A 21,370-nucleotide genomic window follows, 5' to 3' on the forward strand; every position below is an offset into this window, starting at 1 on the left:
TCAAAACTGTTTCATGCACAAAATTATTAAAAATATTGTACAAAATTACCATCAGGCAATGTGTAGAAGGTGTATATGGCAATGTATAAATAAATTTCGTGTTTGGAGTTGGGTCTCTTCCCCAAGATATCTCATTATGTACATGCAAATATTCCAAAATCCAAAAAAAAAAAAAAAAAAAATCTGAAATCTGAAACACTTCTGGTCCCAAGCATTTCGGATAAGGGATACTCAACCTGTACCACAAATCATACTTAAAATCTTATTAACATTGCAGTGACGACATGACTAAGACACCGGCAGGAAGAAAGGTTAACCCAAGCTAACGTATATTGTTGATTTTCCCTGCCACATGTATCTTACTTTTGAATAAATATGGTATACAGTAGATTTTTGGATATAATGAAAACAAGCTCACTGTACTTTTGTCCTCCTAAATTTACCTTTGTTGCGATTCTCAATAGCTCCATCTTGTTTCTTATCTGTAGGAACAAAATGGGAATTAAAGCTTTCCAAAAGAAATGAATACAGCCATGCTAAATTATGCAGAAGTAGTTCACATTTCTATAACAGTTGTTACACAATGGTGTGTGTGTCTACAGATTAGAAAACATTTGACTTGTGATGACCTGCTGGGTCAATCACTCCCTAAGTCTTACCTACGGGAGAATACCGCAAAATAATTTAGGGTGTCTATATTTGTTTTATTTTTCCATAGGACTTCATTATTTTATAAGCTGTAATAAACCTAAATATGATACAAAAAGTTTTAAAACTAAATACAAATATAACCCCAAGAAAGCAGAAAAGGGCAGAGGTGGAGAGGGAGGAGGAAGAGCAGGGGTAGAGAGGGAGGAGGAAGGGATGTTATAAAACGACAACGGGCAGTCGGGTGTGGTGGCTCATGCCTGTAATCCCAGCATTTTGGGAGGCCAAGGTGGGTGGATCATCTGAGGTCGGGAGTTCAAGACCAGCCTGGCCAACATGGTGAAACCCTGTCTCTACTAAAAATAAAAAATTAGCCGGGTGTGGTGGCATGCACCTGTAGTCCCAGCTAGTCAGGAGGTTGAGGCGGGAGAGTTGCTTGAACCCGGAAGGCGGAGGTTGCAGTGAGCCAAGATCACGCCATTGCACTCCAGCCTGGGGGATAGAGTGAGACTCCGTCTCAAAAAAAAAAAAAAAAAAAAAAAAAAAAAAAAAGACAACTGGCACACAGGAGAGTGTTGATGAGAGTGAGGACAAAATATGTACAAAAGATAGGAGAGGTAACTTAGTAAAACTAGAATACGAATGTATAGAATAAGCCAGTAAGACTACCAGGTAAGGCAGCTCTCCAAATCAGCTTATATTTGGAAAACACAGAAAGATGAGCATATCTGAAGCAATAAAGTAATGAAGGGACAGGCCTATTGTCTGGAGTAGGCACTACAATATTAAAAATGCCAAAGAGCAGGAGAACCATTCATCCTATATTCTTCTAGCTTCTTTATCGAGGAGAACTATCTTCAAACGGAAAACATGGAACAAACATGGTCAAGAAGGAATAGAAGCTCAAGATTGATGAGGAGATAGTAAGATAATACCTAGCTACTTTTAATGAGCTCAAGTTTGGAGAGACCAGACGGCCACAGTCCAGGCCACTGAGGGAACTGAGACACATTACCCCGGACTGCTTCTGAGTAATCGCTAAGGCAGTCAAGGGAATGGGAGAAGGGCTGGAGGCCCACAGAAGAAAAAATGTTGCCCTGTTCTTTAAAAAAAAAACAACAACAACAAAAAAAGGGAGTCAACAAATTAGATGTTAATTTCTGGGGAATGTTCTAGACTAGATTAATAAAACCAGTGTATAAGACTCAGGGGGAAAAGAAGCTTACTGGAAAAGACACTGTGGAATACAGTGAGGATGCAAACTTCCCTTCAGCGTTCAATGACTTTCAACTCTTGTGGATTAGGATGGAGCACAGCATAAAAGGGTAGACTCTTGAGCCAGAGAAGAGGGTGTGACCTGTCACTTACTAGCACTTTGATCTAGAGCAAATTATATAATCTCCGTAAGCCTCAGTTTACTTATCAGTAAAAAAATAATAAGTCTTTACTTTGTACAGTTGTGAGGATTAATGAGATAGTGCATGTAAAACATTCAATAAATGGAATCATTACTGTGCTGGTTTTCAAACTGCGTTCTACTCAGCCTTAAGAAACGTATGGAAGCACATTGAGAACTGCTTCAAGGAGGACATAGAAAAAAAACCTAGAATGGGGGGCTTGCCACCTGGATCTGCGTCCAGAATTTTTCACATACATTTTTGTTTCGAAATAGAGATTTTATAGCTAACAGCAAAACTCAAAGAACAAAACAAACCACTCAAATATTAAAAACACTGCTGTAGTTATAGCAAACCAGGATTTTAGCCAGGCAGTTATTTTAGAATGTTTCAAAATATTCATGTGAGAAACAACAATATGGGTTTACTATCCTAAATAACATCAAATAAATCTAAGTGGCTAAACCACCGTAAAATGTTGTCAACCTAAAGGGAAAAGACTCCAGAGGGGTAATCCTGAGTGTGAAGGAAGGGTGGTATAGCAGACACTTAGAAGCAGGGTGGGGAGGGCTTTTTAAAAGTGGCATGCCCCTAACTAGGAGATTCTGAGATGTCTCTTGTGTATAACAGTTTCTTGTAAGATCCTTGCAGATAAATGGTATGTATGATTATCAAGTTTTCTGATAACAGAACACTTGGAGGGACAGTAGATACAATGGATCAACATTTTAAAAAGATTTTGATATCTAATGATGGGCTGAATATAACAAGAGAAATGTAAGGTGTCAAAGTGAAGTCCTAGTCTTGTGTTCAAAAACCAAGCACATTAAGTATAGTAGAATAGAAATGTGAAGAAGATTAAAAGAAAGCTCAGTGAAACCAAAATATAATATGGCTGATAAAGAAAGCCACTGCTAAAGTAGCAGAAAAAATCCGCCGTGAGAGTTCAATTCATTTTGCTGATCAGATGATGGGAGATTCTACACCTAGAGAATAAATGCAAGAATGCCAATGGAAGTATTCAAGTAGATGCTGAATTTCTCTGGCCATGGTAAAGGGGACTGATGTATTCTCTAAAGGCCCATGCTATTAAGTCTAATAGAAAAATCTTCTTTTAACTTTTTGTAGAATTTTTCATACCAGAATCTCTTGAAAGAAGGTACTAGTTCTTACAAATTATTTGCCCTATTTCCAAATACCAATTATAGAAAATTGTTATTCTTACTTTTCTTTTCCTTTTTCTTCTCATCTTTCTTCTCTTCCTCTTCACCTCCAGCTCCAAGTAAGGTAAAGATAATTCCAGTTTGAGAATTTACACCTACAGCTGTAACTACCATTCTTCCAGAGCCTTCCATTACATGAGTACCTATAACCAAAAACATAGTTTGTTTTTAAAAATACTGATAGATCTCCTTGCTACCACCAAATTTCAAACTTCAGTAATATTGTTTTTAACAGCCTCAACATTTAGGAAAAAATATATATAAATATAAATATATAAATATATATATATATTTTTAAGTCAGGGTCTTGGTCTGTCACCCAGGCTGGAGTGCAATGGTGTGAACATGGCTTACTACAGCCTGGATCTCCTGGGCTGAAGTAACCCTCCCGAGTAGCTGGGACCACAGATACACGCCACTACACTCTGCTAATTTTTTTAAAAAAATTTTGTAGAGACAGGGTCTCACTATATTGCTCAGGCTGGTCTCAAACTCCTGGGCTCAAGCAATCCTCCTGTCTTGGCCACCCAAAGTGCTGGGATTACAGATGTGAGCCACCATGTCTTGATCAATAAAATACATTTAGTAAGACATTAAATAAAACTTATTTCTTGTGCTTAAGGTTTTAACTCTAATCAGTCATATCCAAGTTCAAAGCTCAATCTACTACTCACTTACCATGTAATATTAGGTAAATTTTAACAACTCAGTTCCCTGTCTGTACACTTCATAGAAATATGAGATTTACATTTCTCATATAAACCTATAAATGTAAAGTGCTTAGCATACTGCCTAGAATTTGTAGGGGTTCAATGAATGCTCATTAATTGTAACCTAAGGTATGAGGGACACTTCTCTGAGAAAAACACTGCTTATAAAGAAACAACGTATGTATCAATGACAACCAATGTCACATTTCCCACACCCAACCTCATAACCTCTACCTAACACAAGCTTTCATTCCAGCACGCCTTTGTAACTGCAATAGCCCCCTACCTAGTCTCTGTGTCTTCCCAGTTCATCCTGAAATCCATTTTAATCTTCCTAAAATTGTGATTTCATCATATACTTCTCATGGCTCAAAAATTTCTGATTCTTCGTTGCCTACTGGATTGAGTCCAAAGTCCTCACCTTGAGACCGACCCAATCTTACAAACTTACTCATCCACTACTCTAACATAAAATTTCATTACAGAAAACTAGGAATCAGAGATGGGAACATGGATTAAATTCTATGTCCCGCAAAACAATTTTGGAAGTTGGCAGGCATTACTATTCTCATTTTCTAGAAACTTGCCCAAGGTTATACAACTTTTTTTTTTTTTTTGTAGAGACAGAGTATGTGTTGCCCAGGCTGGTCTCCATAATTGTCTCCCGTCTTAGCCCCCAAAGTGCTGGAATTACAGGTGCGAGTCACCGTGCTCGGCCTGAAGGTTATACAACTATTAAATGTCAAGGCAAAGATTCAGTCCAGCTCTGTCAGAGGATAAAGAGTATATTCTTCTTCAGTTATAATGCTGATAAGTCTGCTTACGGTTCTCCGACTTGTACATCCACATCTCTATATCTTTTCTTATTCACTAAAAGGCTTCTAATCCGTCTAATCTTTTTGTTAGTTTTAAGCAGGCTTTAAAGCAACTTTTTTTTTTTTACACGTTATCATTGATTTGTATTTTATTTCCTTGTTTACAATCTTCTGGAGCACAGTGAACATAGCATCTACCATAATCTTATGAACCAAGTTGATGCTCAAGGATTATTTGCTAAGTACGCTCATAAAATATATGTACTTACTCAAGTATTTAAGAATCCATATTTGGCTATTAATTACTGAGTAACTTATCCAATATTGTTTTTTAGGCCTTTGCTTCCTTGCTTTTAAAAATCCATATTGATTATTTCACTAGTTATTAGCTTCTTTGCCAGTGAAAGTGCAGGGAAAACAAGAAATATAATTCAAGATAGTGAAAAAGTAGATAATTTATTTCTTTTAACAATTCTGGTTTTCTCCAGACTCCAATTGTTTAGGTTCTATTTTGCCTTACCACAGGTAATCAGATGTTGGCAGTGAATGTGCTCAGGCAAAGTAAACAGTTTTAAGTCTTGGTCATATCCCCACCACTAACTGAATACTGCTTTTAAAAATCTAAACTTAAGAAGCCAAGAACAGCAGTCAGAGATGGCATCATGAGAGTAAATTTAAAAATAAATGCATGTCATGTTTTTTAGTACATTTTTGGAATAGGGAAATAAATGCAGAAAAACTTTCCCACCCATACTGCGATAAGGGACTCTACAAAGTTATTTCAGTCTTTTCTTAAATGTGGAAAATTTATAGAGTTCTCCTGGTATACTTGGTGTGTTAGGAACCTGAGTCTACATAAAGCTTACCAGTCATCTCTGTTAAAACAGAAAGGACCAAAGTTCAGTTAAAGGAAATCAACCTGAAGAGCTAAGCACTATGTAAATAAGTGAGATGTACATAAAAGTCCATGCAGTATACATAGCAAACAGGAGACTATCTTAGTTTGTTACACATTGTGGTCTGGTTAATCTGTGATGGTAAGGTATGATTAGATAGCTTCCCTCTCCTTTGGAAAGGTTATAGATTTTATTTGGTTAACATTAACTACAGTTCCTTAGAAGCATGGCAAGGTAAGTAGAATGAGTTAACACATTATACTTAAATACATTATATTTATATATCCAAGCTCTTTCTGGCTATTTGGTATAAATGACAACCACACCAATACAAAGAAAAATCCAAACAGGGTGTGAATGTTCTTTTTTCTTTTTTTTAAATTTTATTATTATTATATTTTAAGTTTTAGGGTACATGTGCACAATGTGTAGGTTTGTTACATATGTATACATGTGCCATGTTGGTGTGCTGCACCCATTAACTCGTCATTTAGCATTACGTATATCTCCTAATGTTCTAAGTGGCACAGGATACTGAAGGTATACACATCTCAAGATTTTTTTTTTTTTTTGATGAAACGTTAAGTCTATATTAGAATTGGAACTTTTATCCTATTTATAATGGTGTTTATAAATGTAATTACTCTGATTTTTTTGCAATAGGATTTTCTGGCCAATATAAATGTGTCTGGTTCTTTGCAATAAGCTTCTTTTGGCATGCATTTATAAATCTTAAAAAGTTATGGTTAAACTTAGGTTTTGCTCTAAAGTTGTGATTCTAACTTAACTGACCCTTGTGGATATCACAGGTTTGACTCTGGTTTCAGCAGCAATCATCTGACAATGTATAAAATGTTGGCAATCTATCAACACCTGACAATGACAGAAGACTACATGTAGAAGGCTACATTTGGCTTTCCCAAAACTCTAGTATAAATTCAATCTGACAAGTACAGTTCTGATAGACAATTTCATAAATTCCATATAGAATACTGGGAAAATAAGAATAGGAACCCCAGAACCTAAAAGTTAGAATAATTAATATGACTTGGGGGTCAATTTGTGATACTATAGCTTTCTCTCATTCAGTGTTTTGGAAGCGAACTTGTAATTTTTCCCACCACCCCTTCCATTTCATATTTACTTAGTTCAACTTAGTTCAAGCTATCACAATGAGGTTACTACAAGAGCCTCCCAAGCTGTCACCCTCCATTTCAAACAGTATCCTCACCTATCCTTCCCTTCTCCAATCCCAGAACATATCTTAACCATTTGCAAATTCAATTCTGACTAGATGGAGGTGTGACTGCTAGACCTACTCTTGGTTAATCATATAATACTAAATAGTTTATATCTCAAACTCATTCTTCAGCAGTTAAAGGAGTTGGATTAGGTAAACTTTAAGGATTTTACCAGTTCTTAAGAAAAAACAACCTGTCCTTTGTAGAGCATCACAGAGAATTCATTAATTTGCTTTAAACATATATTCATTCTTTAATTTTATACTTCAATAGGCATTAAAAATAGTCATGATACAGAATAACAGACCAACTCAAGAGATATCATTAGGCCTATATTTCAGTTTTATCATTACACTAGCATGAATGCTGAATCTCAAATCTCTTGATTTTTTGGACTCTGGTCCCTCATTTGTAAAATATAGCTCTGCATTCAAAGTTTTCTAATGTTTTTGTCAGCTTACCAAAAAAAGTCTGCAAGGATTACAACAGTAGAAGGTAGCATAAAATACAGATTCCTCTTTATATTATTGACTCTTAGGAAAATGGTGTTTGCTGACAATGGTACATAGTTGCGAAAGAGGAAAGTGTTCAAAGATATAAATGAAATTTTTACCTGATAGAAGTAAGGGATCCTTATCTAAAGACTTTTTAACATGATCTGATTCACCAGTCAATGAGCTTTCATCAATTTTAAGATCGTTGCCTTGAATAAGTATGCCGTCAGCTGGAAGAAGATCACCTAAAATAAAAAGCATGATATACTAAACTTATAAACAAGATTACAGTAATTTTATGTTTAGTGTCAGATGTACTGCTCTTTTTACTTACTTACCATATTTCACTTGAGCAATATCTCCAACAGTAATGTCAGCTACAGGTATCTGAATGACCTGACCACCCCTGATGACAGTGAACTTCTGTTCTTGTTCAATTCGGCTCTGCAAACCTCTAAACTGTTTTTCCTTACTCCAGTCATTGAAAGCTGTTACTAACACCACACACACTACAGACAAGAGGATTGCAGCTCCTTCAATCCAACCAGTTTCACCTTCACCTTCTTCCTCCCCAACAGAAACTTCTCCACAAACTATTTGGAAAGAAAGAAAATGCTTATCAAAAAGATTCTGAATTGATGACAACATACATATAGTACGTCTAAATCATATTTTTGTGTTAATTATGTTTATCAATTTTACTTATAGCAATAAATACTTTATTAAATTCAAAGTATTCCATAAGAACTCTATGTCACTTTCAAGTTCCCTGCTTCTGTAATTCTTAATCTCAGTAGAGGGAGGCAGTCTAGGTAGGGTACTAGTTAAGAGTAAGGACACTGAAGGAGATGAAATATCAGTCCTAAGGCAAGTTACTTAATTTTTGAGACTTGGTTTCTTCATCGTCAAATTATGATACCACCAGCTATTCCAGAGTTATTGTGAGGATTAAATGTGAGGATACTGGTAAAGTAGGTACAGCAGTGGCTAAGGCTTTCTTCGCACTCAACCAAGAGCTAACCATATTAATTATTACATATGATAGACAAGATATACATGAGAAGTTAGTATTACGTGAAACCCATGAATCATGCTTATTTACTATGTCATTTTTACTGAAATGTGATTAAAACTTGGCTTTTATAACATGAAAAGTTAAGCAAACTGCTACTTGTTATTCCAACCATTTGAGCACAGGCTAGGTGCCAGACACTATTTTAGGGGCTAGAAATACAGTAGTGAGTAAGACACACAAGCTCTCTCTCCTCATGGAATCCATACTCAGACTGGGGACGGTATATGAAGAATTCAGATAATAATACACAAATAATTAATTTCACATATCGACAAGTGCCATGAAGAAAAACATAGTGATGTGCTATTAAATGAAAAAAGAGGGATAACTGAGGTTCAGTGAGCAGAGAAGGCCCCATTGAGGTATGCATGACATTTGAGCTACCAAATATTGGTAGAGAACCAGCCATCTAAGAAAAAAAAAATCCAGGGAGAGATTAAAATCAGTACAAATGGCAGAATAGAGATCAGAAAAGGATGTGGGGTGGGAGGTGGGGAGGGGGGAGAGAATGAGCCAAAACTCTATAGTCAATAATGGTGAAGAATAACAGAACAGTGCTTTTTGACTTCGGGCTGTAATCTAGTTGTGAGTCCAAAATCAATTCAGTGGCTCATGACCAGCATTCTGAAAAATGGAACAAAACAAAATAGAAAGGATATGTATGTAGTAAGGATAAGTATTATTTCCTGAAACGCTGATTACTTATAAATTCGCATGAAGGAATACAGGCTTCTGGGTTGCTATGTGAAGTTATTTCTTTTTAAATTGAATTGAAATGTCTGAAAGCCATTGGTTCTCTCAAACAGACAAAGCAGGAGGATTATTCAGAAGAAAAGAATGAGTAAATAAATGACACTAGAAATGACTAAAGCGTGTTCTAGCATGGTGAGTACAGACTGAAGAAAAAATCTGAGGTGTGAGGGTGCTGACTAAAAAGCAATCTGGGAGGGAAGACAGGGAATGAAGTAAAATCAATTGGGGATGAAATGGAAGACTTGACGTGAACAGTTACAAAAAATATCCTGAGAACCACCAGCAGGATTCAACTGTGAGGTACAAGCAGGATAATCCAACAGAACCCCCTCCAACACAAATACCAGAATTTCTATTTTAATTATTTTCAAGCTCAAGAAATCACCATGTGTCATTGTGTATAATAACCAGTTAAAGTGATTTTATGATTTACATTCTGTTTAACAGTCAAGGCTGTAAGAATGACTCTCCCCGCTCCATTCCTCCCTCTAGCCAGAAGACAGGAGATTAACTCTGAATTAGAGCAACTCTGGACTCAGAATCAGATGATAGAACACCATGCTGACCACTTTCACCAACTTGGAAACACAGCTAACATATTATCCAAGTGAAGCATTTTACTGGGTTTTGATGTCATTTATTACACAAAAAATGCAATACTTTATAACAGCATATAAAAACAACAGATTGACATCAGACAATGGAATTTACCAGTCATATTTTAACAAATACCTTTGCATAACTGGTGGGTAGGTATCATGAAAATGAGTATGATTTAGTAACTACACTTTTCCCACTTGGATTTATATAATGTTGTGTTTCTTTTAGCTGCGAGACATTAAAGCCAACTTCTGAAATTAAACTTAGACCTAAATCAGGTTAACAATAATGTTTTATGGCTACAAGAAGAAAGCAAACATTAAATTTTAATTTTTTCTTTTTTGAGACAGAGTCTCACTTTGTTGCTCAGGCTGGAGTGCAGTGGTGCCAATGTGGCTCACTGCATGCTCAAGCAATCTTCCTACCTCAGCCTCCCAAGTAGCTTAGACCACAAGGCGCATGCCACCACGCCCAGCTCATTTTAAAATTTTCTGTAGAGATGGGATCTCGCCACATTGCCCAGATTGGCCTCGAACTCCTGGCCTCAAGCAATCCTCCCACCTCAGCCTCCCAAAGTGCTGGGATTACAGGCATGAGCCACTGTGCCCAGCTTTATCTTTTACTTTCAATTTCTATTTTTTCTATATGCTGAAAATATACAAATTATATAGTTATAAATATAATTAATAAATGCATCATTTGGAGGTATGTGCTCATTTTTTTCCTGATAGAGTAAATAACCAAAAAAGTTTAAAGACCAACACAACAGAGGTTAAGGAGGGGAAAGAATTACGGACAATTATACAATTTTCAGCTCTGAATCTGACATGGATATCCATCACTAAACTACTGAATATTTCAAAAGAGAACTTGAAGCAAATTAATGACATATATCATTTCATATATAGTTCTACTCTACATCATACAGATAAGACCAAAATAATCTTGAAATAGTACAAAATATAAATCCTTTCCTACTGACAATGATTACAAATTTTTAGAGAAGTTATAGGGGAAAAAGGATCAAAGTTACAAAATGACTACAGCTTACAGTTATATATATGTATAAATATATAAAGAATTTTAACAATGTTTTCAGTAAAGTCCAAGCTCAAATATAATAATAAAAACCTGTATTATCAAAGGTATTCTCTTGTAAATATATTCAACTGAGAGACATGCACAATCTAAATTCAGTCAATACTCTCTACCACAAGGCAAATATTCCATTTTAAAACCTCCTAGTTGAGCTATTCATTGGGTGATGTACCAAGTTTGTACATTAACAGTACAGAGAAGTAGTTCTCAAAGTGCTGTCGTGAAACCTGAGAGGGATTCCTATTTTCATAATTTGAAGACATAATTATTGGTCTCATATTTCATTAATGTGTAACATAATTTTCCAAAGATTACACTGCATGTGATAATGTGACATAATAAATACAGAAGCAGACAGGAGAACCGAGCTATCTTCAATAAAGCTGGGCATTAAAGAGATATGACACCACTCTTTACATTATTTCATTTAAAAATTCATTATTGAGGGAACATTTTTCATCAAAATGCTATCTATGTGAATATACAATAGATTATTATTTAAAAATGCACTGATAAATATTTTGTCCAGCTTTACTGCAGTATGATTGATAAAACTGCATATAGTTAGGATATACAGCAAAATATTTTGATATATGTATATGCTGTGAAAAGATTGCCACAATCAGTTAATATATCCATCACCTCATATAGTTACTTTTGTGGTGAGAACACATTAATATTCAAAAATTTTTCCATTTTTATTTAGAATATACTAAATATTTATAGGAATAATTCACATAATCAAAAGCTCTTTGGAGTCCTCAATACTTGAAGAGTTTAAAGAGGTCTCGAGACCAAAAAGTTTGAGAACTCCTGTTAAGTGCAGATACCAGTAACTATAGATTTATTTATGGTTTGGGCTATAGCATATATTTTCACATCAAGTAATATTAGGAAGACATTTTGATCATTTAGATTTCTATGACTGTAGATTTACAAATAGATTCCTTTTAAGCAAGTTACCACACCTCAGTGTTGAGATGTAACGAGACAAAAAGATACATGTAGTGTACTAATAATGATTTTAAAAAATGCAAGGCTGGGCACGGTGGCTCATGCCTGTAATCTGAGCACTTTGGGAGGCCGAGGCGGGCAGATAACCTGAGGTCAGGGGTTTGAGACCAGCCTGGCCAACATGGTGAAACCCCGTGTCTACTAAAAATACAAAAATTAGCCAGGCATGGTGGCACATGCCTATAGTCCCAGCTACTCAGGAGGCTGAGGCAGCAGAATCGCTTGAACCTTGGAGATGGAGGTTGCAGTGAGCCGAGATAGTGCCACTGCACTCCAGCCTGGGCGACACAGTGAGACTCTGTCTCAATATATATATAGTCTCTCTCTATATATTTTATATATATATCTGTCTCAATATACATATTTTATTTTATATATATAATAAAAATAAAAAATAAAAAATGCAAATACTAAATAACTTTTCACCATGGAGCAAAAAAATCTTTATATGTTTCATTAAGAACTTCTAGTGAACTCTGACTCTTTTAAAAGGGCCTTAGAACACCGACAGCTCTAGATTATCTTCTCAGTTGGATTTTAATACCTGTATCTCCTTTAACAAATTTAGGAAAGGACCTGTCACTACATCTTACAAAGGAAGCAGTTTGAATTCCAAAAAGATTTGTCCTGGACCTTGCTGGTAATAAACTCCACTTCTTGAAAGTATTTTTTCTTTTGTTTTCTAAGAAAACTAAAATGTTCAAAGTAAAAAGCTTTTATTAATCTGCTAACTCAATTCTAGAAAACCAATACCCAATATTTGATAGTGACAGCTAGACAGGTGGAAAACTGACAAAAATTCAGCTGTATGTTGCTGAAGATGATATGACTCCCCTTTTCAGATAAACACATGTATCTATGCACCATCATACCTTTACATATATTAGTGCTCATAGACACATAGACCACGGATACATATTTAAAATCTTAAAGGATATATACATAAAAGGGTATAGCAGGAATCTCTAAGAAATGGGATTTCCAGTGAATATTATTTCCTTTGGACTGTCTTCCCCCACCCCCATTATTTTTTTTAAACAGTAAAATAGGTACTACTTATTTAGCAAAAATAAATAAAAGTTTAAAAAATAATTTAGCTCAACAGTGACAAGAATATTGTCTAAGCCTCTCCTTATCTATAGTGATTTTCAACCAGAGGCAACTTTGCCCCCTATGGGACACACAGCAAAATCTGGAGACGTTTTTGGTTGCCTCACTGGGGGTGGGGTGCAGAATGAATATTGTGACAAATAATTTTGCCGCTCAATATGTCAGTCGTGCTGCTTCTAAGAAACCTTAATCTATACCAATCTCAGAAAAACTGATTTATGCTGTGTCCAAATTTCTTTAAAGAGAAAGAATACAGTCTTACGTGAGCCTAGGTACATCTTATAAATAATTACATAATTATTGATAGAGTTTGGATGTTTTTCCCCTCCAAATCTCATGCTGAAATATGATCCCTAGTGTTGAAAGCAGGGCCTAAGGGGAGGTGTTTGGATCATGGGGGTGGAACCCTCATGAATGGCTTGGTGCCCTCCCCATGGTGACTACTTCACACAAGAGCAGGTCCTTGAAAAATCCTGGCCCCTCAAGGCCACCTCTTGCTCCCTCTCTCTCCATGTGTTCTGCCTGCTCCTGCTTCGCCTTCTGCCATGACTATAAGCTTTCTGAGGCCCTCACCAGAAGCAGATGCTGGCACCACGTTTCCTGTACAGCCTGCAGAACCTTTTCTTATAAGTTAGCCAGTCTCAGGTATTCTTATACAGCAATGCAAACAGACTAACATAATTACCTTACCCAACTTTTAGAGTTAGCAAGTATCTCTTCACAACTCGAAAGGGTATAGGAATGAAGCTTTCACAAAAATATTTTGGTGAATCAGCCTTTTGATACATAAAATACTACTGGTTTGTTTTATATTACAGCTACTTAAATATAGTAACCAAAATGCATGCTAGATTTCCTACCAGTTACAGAATCTACCAGCAGAACTATTAATTTTAAACAAATTTTTTAAAAGGCAGATAAAGAAATTTAAAAGAGAAAGGGAAAGATAGGAGAAAAAAACATTTGTAGCCACAAGTTAAAGCAAATCTACCACGCTATAATGTATTTCTCTATTGGTTAGGATACTCTGTACAGGTTGAGTATCCCTTTTCTGAAATGCTTGGGGCCAAAAATGTTTTAATTTTTTCAGATTTGGGAATATGTGCATATATATAAAATCAGATATCTTGGGGATGGGACCCAAGTCCAAACATCAATTTATGTTTCATATACACCTTATACACATAGCCTAAAAGTAATTTTATACAATATTTAAAAAATAATCTTGTATATGAGACAAAATTTGTGGTAAGTACTTATGTGTGGAATTTTTCCACTTGTGGCATCATGTCGGCACTCAAAAATTTTGAATTTCAAAGTATTTCGGATTTTCATATTAGGGATGTTCAACCTATAGTATAATGGCAAGGACATTTTCCATAATGGCAAGGAAATTATCCAAATGGTGTACATAGCAAAACACTTTAAGAACTTGACAAGTAATGAATTTGGGAAGAGAACAGAATTTTGCTTTCATAATGACATTTTCCAAAAGAAACCAAAAACTAAAAACTGAAATTGTTTCACAGTATAGTGTTCTAAAAAAACTTAAAAACTGTGATAGCAAAGACCATGTCATATACATGGCATAGGTCTGTGCCAGACACATAGTAAGCATATATGGATAGGTTATTTAACCTCTGTGCCTCATTGTAAAAGGGAGGTAACACAATCTAATTCATAGGGTTACTGTGAAAGTTATCTGAGATAATATATTTAAGGTACTTAGAACAGTGCCTAGCACATAGCAAACATCAATAAATGCTGGCCAGCTATTATTATTGTGCATTAACTAAATGAATTAGCTGAACTAGCATCAGACATGTCTTTTTTCCCCCCATTTACTTACGTGCATTATCCCCTTCTGGAGGCTGATAAAAAGAAAGGCCCAATGATACTATGGCTGCAATTTCTAATATAATTAAAGTGACATCTTGTAATGCTTCCCATACTAATTGAAGAAAGGTTTTTGGCTTTTTAGGAGGTATAAAATTCTTTCCAAACACTGCTTCTCTTCTTTCTAAATCTGCAGGGTTTCCACTTAAACCTAATAAAAAGAAACAAATTTCAGTGAACAGTTTTACTTCTTACAAATGAAAATATATAGTTTTATTCAAAATACCTCAACTCATCACTCTAGACCCTACCAAAATGTTTACTTTCATGCTTTAAGTGTACAGAATTTAAATCACTGAAAAACATGTGCAGGTCTTTAAAAGAACACTTTAAGTAGATCAGTTAGGACTGCACTAAGAATTTTCACTTTCCCAACTGCTTAGTTTTGTTTTTTGTTTTTTATTTTGCTTGTTTTTTTGAGACAGAGTCTTGCTCTGTCACCCAGGCTGGCGTGCAGTGGCACAATCTCGGCTCACTGCAACCTCTGCCTCCCAGGTTCAAGTGATTCTCCTACCTCACCTTCTCGAGTAGCTGGGACTATAGGTGCATGCCACCACACCCGGCTAATTTTTGTATCTTTAGTAGTGACAGGGTTTCACCATGTTGGTCAGGCTGGTCTTGAACTCCTGACCTAAGGTGATGCACCTGCCTCAGCCTCCCAAAGTGCTGGGATTACAAATGTGAGCCACCATGCCTGGCCAGAACTGCTTATTTCTGATCGTACTATCCTATACCATCTTGTAGATGTTAGCAATCAGAACTGTTGTGACAGTCTGATGGTTTTCATATTGGAGTTAAACATTTCCCTGACCTGAGGATATTGCCCCCACAAAACTGGGAAGTTTATATATAAAGATACATACACACACACACACACACACACACACATATATACATACGTATATATATACGTATATACACGTATATATGTATATACACGTGTATATGTATATATGTATGTATGTATATATGTATATGTATGTATATATGTATATATGTGTGTATATGTGTATATATGTATATACGTATATATATGTATATATACACACACATATACACATATATATATATTTGGTTCAGTTATATAGATATAGATACAGATTTGGTTTAGTTATTGCACCCTGGACAACTGTGAAAGTCTGATTTTTTACTCTCATTTGCTGAGTAACAGTGAAAAGTTAATCTATCACAAACTCTAAAAGCTTCTCTACTAAAATGTCTCTGTTATACTTCGATTGATATAACAGGAAACTTAGGATGATCTTTCTTAGAAGTAATAGGTGGTGCTATTGAATGTACCTATTGTCACTTAAGGTAAAAGGTATACTGTAGGAGGTATACTGTAGGATGTAACATTTATCGTCTGGAGTATGGAATTAGAAAGATATGAGGAGGTTAAGACAGAGCTAGTTGGATGAACATCCATTTTGCCATTCCTTCACCCTACCAAGTAAGTCTTTAACCTTGTTGATCCTGTCAAACCCAGATATATCCCAATTAGTTAATGCAAAGTGTGTACACATGTACATTATTGTGGGAATGTAACAGTACAGACAGCAGTGACAAATGATATTTTTCCTTGTCTGTTTAAGAATGCTAGAGAAGCCAGGCACAGTGGCTCATGCCTATAATCCCAACACTTTGGGAGGCCAAGGCAGGCAGATCACCTGAGGTTGGGAGGCCGAGGCAGGCAGATCACCTGAGGTCGGGAGTTCAAGACCAGCCTGCCCAACATGGTAAAATCTCATTTCTACTAGAAACACAAAAATTAACCGGGTATGGTGGTGGGTTCCTGTAATCCCAGCTACTCAGGAGGCTGAGGCATGAGAATCACTTGAACCCAGGAGGCTGAGGTTGCAGTGAGCCACGATCACACCACTGAACTCCAGCCTGGGGGATAGAGCAAGACTCTGTTTCCGAAAAAAAAGAAAGAAAGAAAGAAAAAGAATGCTAGAGAAGAAGGCAGAGATAACCAGGATAACATCATTTTTGACTTCTCATATTAAACCTAACTTCAATTTGTTTTTTTGGCAAGAGCCTATTCCAAGAGAACATCAAAGGAGGAAGACAGGAAAACAGTAGATTACTGTTAAGGCTCTCAGCTTTAAGTGCTTTAACTATTAATCTCACTGCTCAGGCAGGCAAAGAGTAGAAGAGGGAATATAAATACATTAGAATAAATAATGAGAAATGAACATATAGCTTTAAAGTAATTATTTACTTCATTGAAGGATTCAACAAGATTCAAAGATTTCAGAAAATGATCTCACTTGCAACTATAACAGGGTCCATACTGGGCAATACGGAAAGTATTTTAGATTTCTCAGTTGAAAAAAAAAAAGAAAAAAAAAAGACTTATCAGTTGAAAGCTTCCAAAGAGCTCTAATCTTTAAGACAGAGTCAATAGAAAGCAAGGCAGCAATGGACTGCAGTAATAAGGATGAGATTAGTCTATGCGTAGGTTTGTCTTGTCTTGTGTTTGAATGCTCTTACCAGCAAAAAGAAAAAAAAATGGAGATAGTGGTTATATGAGCCTAACTCACACTGTATAAAGACTACCATTAATTGCATATATATGACATACCTGTAACACCTGATAATTATCACCACTAAAAAATAATTGGCCAAATCTTAACATATTGGTTATAACAGGGACCAATATTTTATGTTACCACTGAAAAGAACAGCCACAGAGCTAAAGATAGCTTTAAAACGTATCTTGGAGAGTATATGGGAAGTAAAGGTCTTAAATGCTATTATAATTCCTCTAAACTACTAACACACACAAAAGCACACACCTAGGACACTATACCAATAAAACTATCTGGTATAGGAAGTAGAAGACCTAGGTTCCGGTTCACCTACTGAAATCTTGTGCAAGTCACTTAACTCTTTGGGGGTCAAGGGAGGGCACTAATATCAGTTGGCCAAACTTACAAGGTTGTTTTGAAGAACCAAAAGAGAAGGTATACACAGTTCATAAATCATAAACAGGGCAACTCTTAAGTTAAATAAGTGGAACACAAATTATAAACTGACTGAACACTATAGTTATTAATTCAATTTTGGGGACAATTAATTTCTATTAATAAACTTACACAATCTAAATATAATAAAACGAACAGTTTTGTAACAATAGTCTGTTTCCCAATACATATTTACTGAATATTTACTACTTCTAGGGACTGTTCTACATGCTGAGGAGTCAGTGTGAACAAGAACATTCAATAAGTTTATACTATCCTGGAGGTAGACAGTAGACAATTAAAATAACTACAGACAAGTACAATGAAGACAATAAAAAAGGGCCAATAGAACTCTCTTAGTGGGCTACATTAGCCTTTCTAAGGAGCTAACATTTGGCTTCTGTCTGAACTTCCAGGGGTCAAGGGTGAGAAGACTTTCGAGCAGAACATTCCCAGCAGCAAAAGCAAATACAAAGGCCCAGAGATCAAAACAAGATTAGAAGATTTACTAGCCAGAAGCAAAGCCACTGTAGTAAAACCCAGTGACCCTGGAGGAAAGAAGAGAGGGTCAAAATGGAAAAAGTGGCCAAAGGTAAGAACATGGGGGCTAGGGAGAGGAGAATGGCATTCTCACCTTAAAGTGCAATGAAAACAATTAAAGCAGAGTAGTGGTAACTAACCTGCATTTTAGAAAAATCACATAAATTGCTATCTGAAGGAAATTGAAGAGAGCAAGATTGAAGGAAAAAGACCAGTTGGGAGGTTGCTGCTTATAAAGTATAGATGATGGTGCTTGTATTTGGGTTTTAGAAGTGGAGGCAGAAGGGGATAAGTGGATTTGCCAGGTATTTTGGAAGGAGATCAGACAACGTACTTAAGGACTGGATGTAGGATGAAAGGGAAAGAATGTTTTTGTTTTTGTTTTTTTTTGCGAGGGGGAGGGGTCTTCAAGCACTTAAGTGGGTGGATGGTAGTCATATTCCAAGACAGGCAATTTTGAGAATTGAAGAATTAGGAGGAAAGGGGAGGGAGGAGTTAATGGTTCTGTTTCATAGATTTAAACAAAACAAGTGTAGGTGTCTAGTAGACAGCTGGCTATCCATATTGAGAACTCAAGGAGAAGTCTGAGCCAGAGTCATCAATATACAGATGATTCTGGAGCCACAAGCCCAATGAGAGCTCTCAGAAAGTTAAAGTAGACAAGAAGGGAGCTAGGCTGAGGCTACAGCGTTGGAGCACCCAACACTGATGTTCAAATAGGGCAAGAGGAGCCCAAGGCACCTAAGAAGAAACAGCCAGTGAGGGAGGCAAGGAAGGCAGGGGAGTGGGGAACAAAACAAAACATGTTCAGGTAGTACCACAGAAGCCCAGAGACGAAAAGAGGTTTTAAAAAGGTGATGTGGCTGACCATGACAAATGATGTTAAAAGGATGAGTGACAGACCAGAGAATGGAACACTTTCTTTCACTAGATAGAGGCTGATGACCTTGTAAGGAATATTCCAGTGCAACGGTGTGGAAGAAAGTCTGATTAGAAAAGAGCTGAACGGACAGTGGGAATGAGCAAGTGGCAACAGTAAGCATAGCTAACTTTTTCCAAGAGTGTGATCCAGTGGGCAGAAATAAATCAGTGAAGATGAGTTCAAATGGGTTTTATTTGCATTTTTTTTTTTAAAAGTAGGTGACAGACATTAAGACAAGTGACTTAATGACAATGATCAAGTGGAGAAGACAACACTGATGATACAGGAGATGAAGGGTAATACCACAGGTAAGCCTTCGAAGGGGCCAGAGGCCATGCAATTCAGGGCTGCAATGTTTGTCTAATACAGATGCAGGAGGAGGCTTCTACTGTAAGGAGGGAGAAAGTAAAGTATGAGATATAGCTAAGCTGGTGGAACTGGCAAAGAAATTACTGGTCCTAGTTTTAAAAATATAAATAATGATATCAAATTACTAGGAATAACTTATAAGAAAATATAATGAGAACTCTTCTGCCTAATTGGCTCAGTTAATTGTAGTGTAGTGGCAATGAGGCCAAGGTCATGCATGGAATTGATCTTCTTATGGCCCAGTTAACTTCACAAAGAGAAAATATAACCAAAACACATCAAAAGTAGCCTCAGAATTACATGCTTTTGGGGTCTGACTCCATCATTGTTTGGAGAAATAAAAGTCTATATTTGATCTATGAGTAGATAACAGCTCAGAAGTACTGTCTTTATATTTGAAAAGAACATACAATGAAATAAAATGTCACTTATATTAAGACCTTAATATTTTACAAGAAAATGTAGCATCCCAATTGCAGGCACTAATAAAATTATGTCCCAATTTAGGAATAAAGTGGGGGGAATTTACTGGAATGTTGGATGTAGATTTAACCGACAATCACAGCTAACACACAGCACATACTACAGTCTTATCAAATTCTGTACTAGAAATTTTGTATTTGTGTATATATCATATGTATATGTGTGTCTGTATGTGTTTATATTACATGTACATGTATGTATGTCTGTGATATAGTAAGGATGTTTATCCCTTCCAAATCTCACGTTGAAATGTGATTACAAATGTTGGAGGTGGGGTCTAGTGGGGTAATTGGATCATGGGGGCGAATCCTTCATGAATGGTTCAGCATCATCCCCTTGGTAATAAGAGAGTTCTTGCTCAGTAGTTCATGCCAGATCTGGTTAAGAGTCTGGGAACTCCTCCTTCTCTCACTCTCACTCTCATCATGTAACGTGCCTGCTCCTGCTTCACCTTCTGCCATGAGTAAAAGCACTCTGAGACATCCCTAGAAGCCAGGCAGATGCCAGTGCCATGCTACCTGTATAGCCCGCAGAATTGTGAGCCCATTAAATCTCTTTTCTTTATAAATTACCCAGTCTCAAGTATTTCTTTATAACAACACAAAAATGAACACACACAGAAAATTGGTACTGAGGTGTGGGGCACTGCTATAAAGATACCTTAAAAAGTGGAAGCGGCTTTGTAGCTGGGTAACAGGCAGAGGCTGGAAGAGTTTGGAGGGCTTAGAAGAAGACAGGGAAATGAGGGAAAGTCTGGAAACTTCTTAAAGACTGGTTAAACGGTTCTGACCAAAATGCTGATAGAGATATAAACACTGAAGTCCAAGCTGACAAGTTCTCAGATGGAAATGAGAAACTTACTGGGAACTGGAACAAGGGTCACCCTTGTTAGGCCTTAGCAAAGAACTTGGCTGTATTGTGTCCATGCCTGAGGGATCTGTGGAAGTTTGAACTTAAGAGTAATGACCTAGGGTATCTAGCACAAGACGGTTCTCAGCAGCAAAACATTCAAGAACAGGCATGGCTGATTCAACAGCCTACTATTAGCAGGAGCAAAGGAATGACCTGAAGTTGGAACTTATAATTAAAAGCAAAGCAGAGGGTAAAGTCTGGAAAATGT

The 21,370-nt window shown here is 36.5% G+C and overlaps 1 protein-coding gene across 45 annotated transcripts in view; it reads right to left on the reverse strand.

Moving 5' to 3' along the window:
- ATP2B1 (ATPase plasma membrane Ca2+ transporting 1) overlaps positions 1–21,370 on the reverse strand; it is a 121,318-nt gene that overhangs the window by 39,186 nt on the left and 60,762 nt on the right. For 32 of the 45 annotated variants that reach the window (NR_182094.1, NR_182093.1, NR_182095.1 and 29 more), the window contains 5 exons: positions 14,924–15,121; positions 7,763–8,017; positions 7,544–7,669; positions 3,271–3,411; positions 444–482 (listed from right to left, as the gene is read on the reverse strand). Coding sequence is in view for 42 of the 45 variants with exons in the window: in NM_001413054.1 (NP_001399983.1) it covers positions 444–482; positions 3,271–3,411; positions 7,544–7,669; positions 7,763–8,017; positions 14,924–15,121 (759 nt within the window). In the remaining 3 variants the exon portion in view is untranslated. The remainder of the gene's footprint in view (positions 1–443; positions 483–3,270; positions 3,412–7,543; positions 7,670–7,762; positions 8,018–14,923; positions 15,122–21,370) is intronic. The other 13 variants (NM_001413060.1, NM_001366531.1, NM_001413058.1 and 10 more) reach the window with 6 other exon arrangements.

This window comes from Homo sapiens, chromosome 12, assembly GCF_000001405.40.
Source record: "Homo sapiens chromosome 12, GRCh38.p14 Primary Assembly".
Classification (NCBI taxonomy): Eukaryota; Metazoa; Chordata; class Mammalia; order Primates; family Hominidae; genus Homo; species Homo sapiens.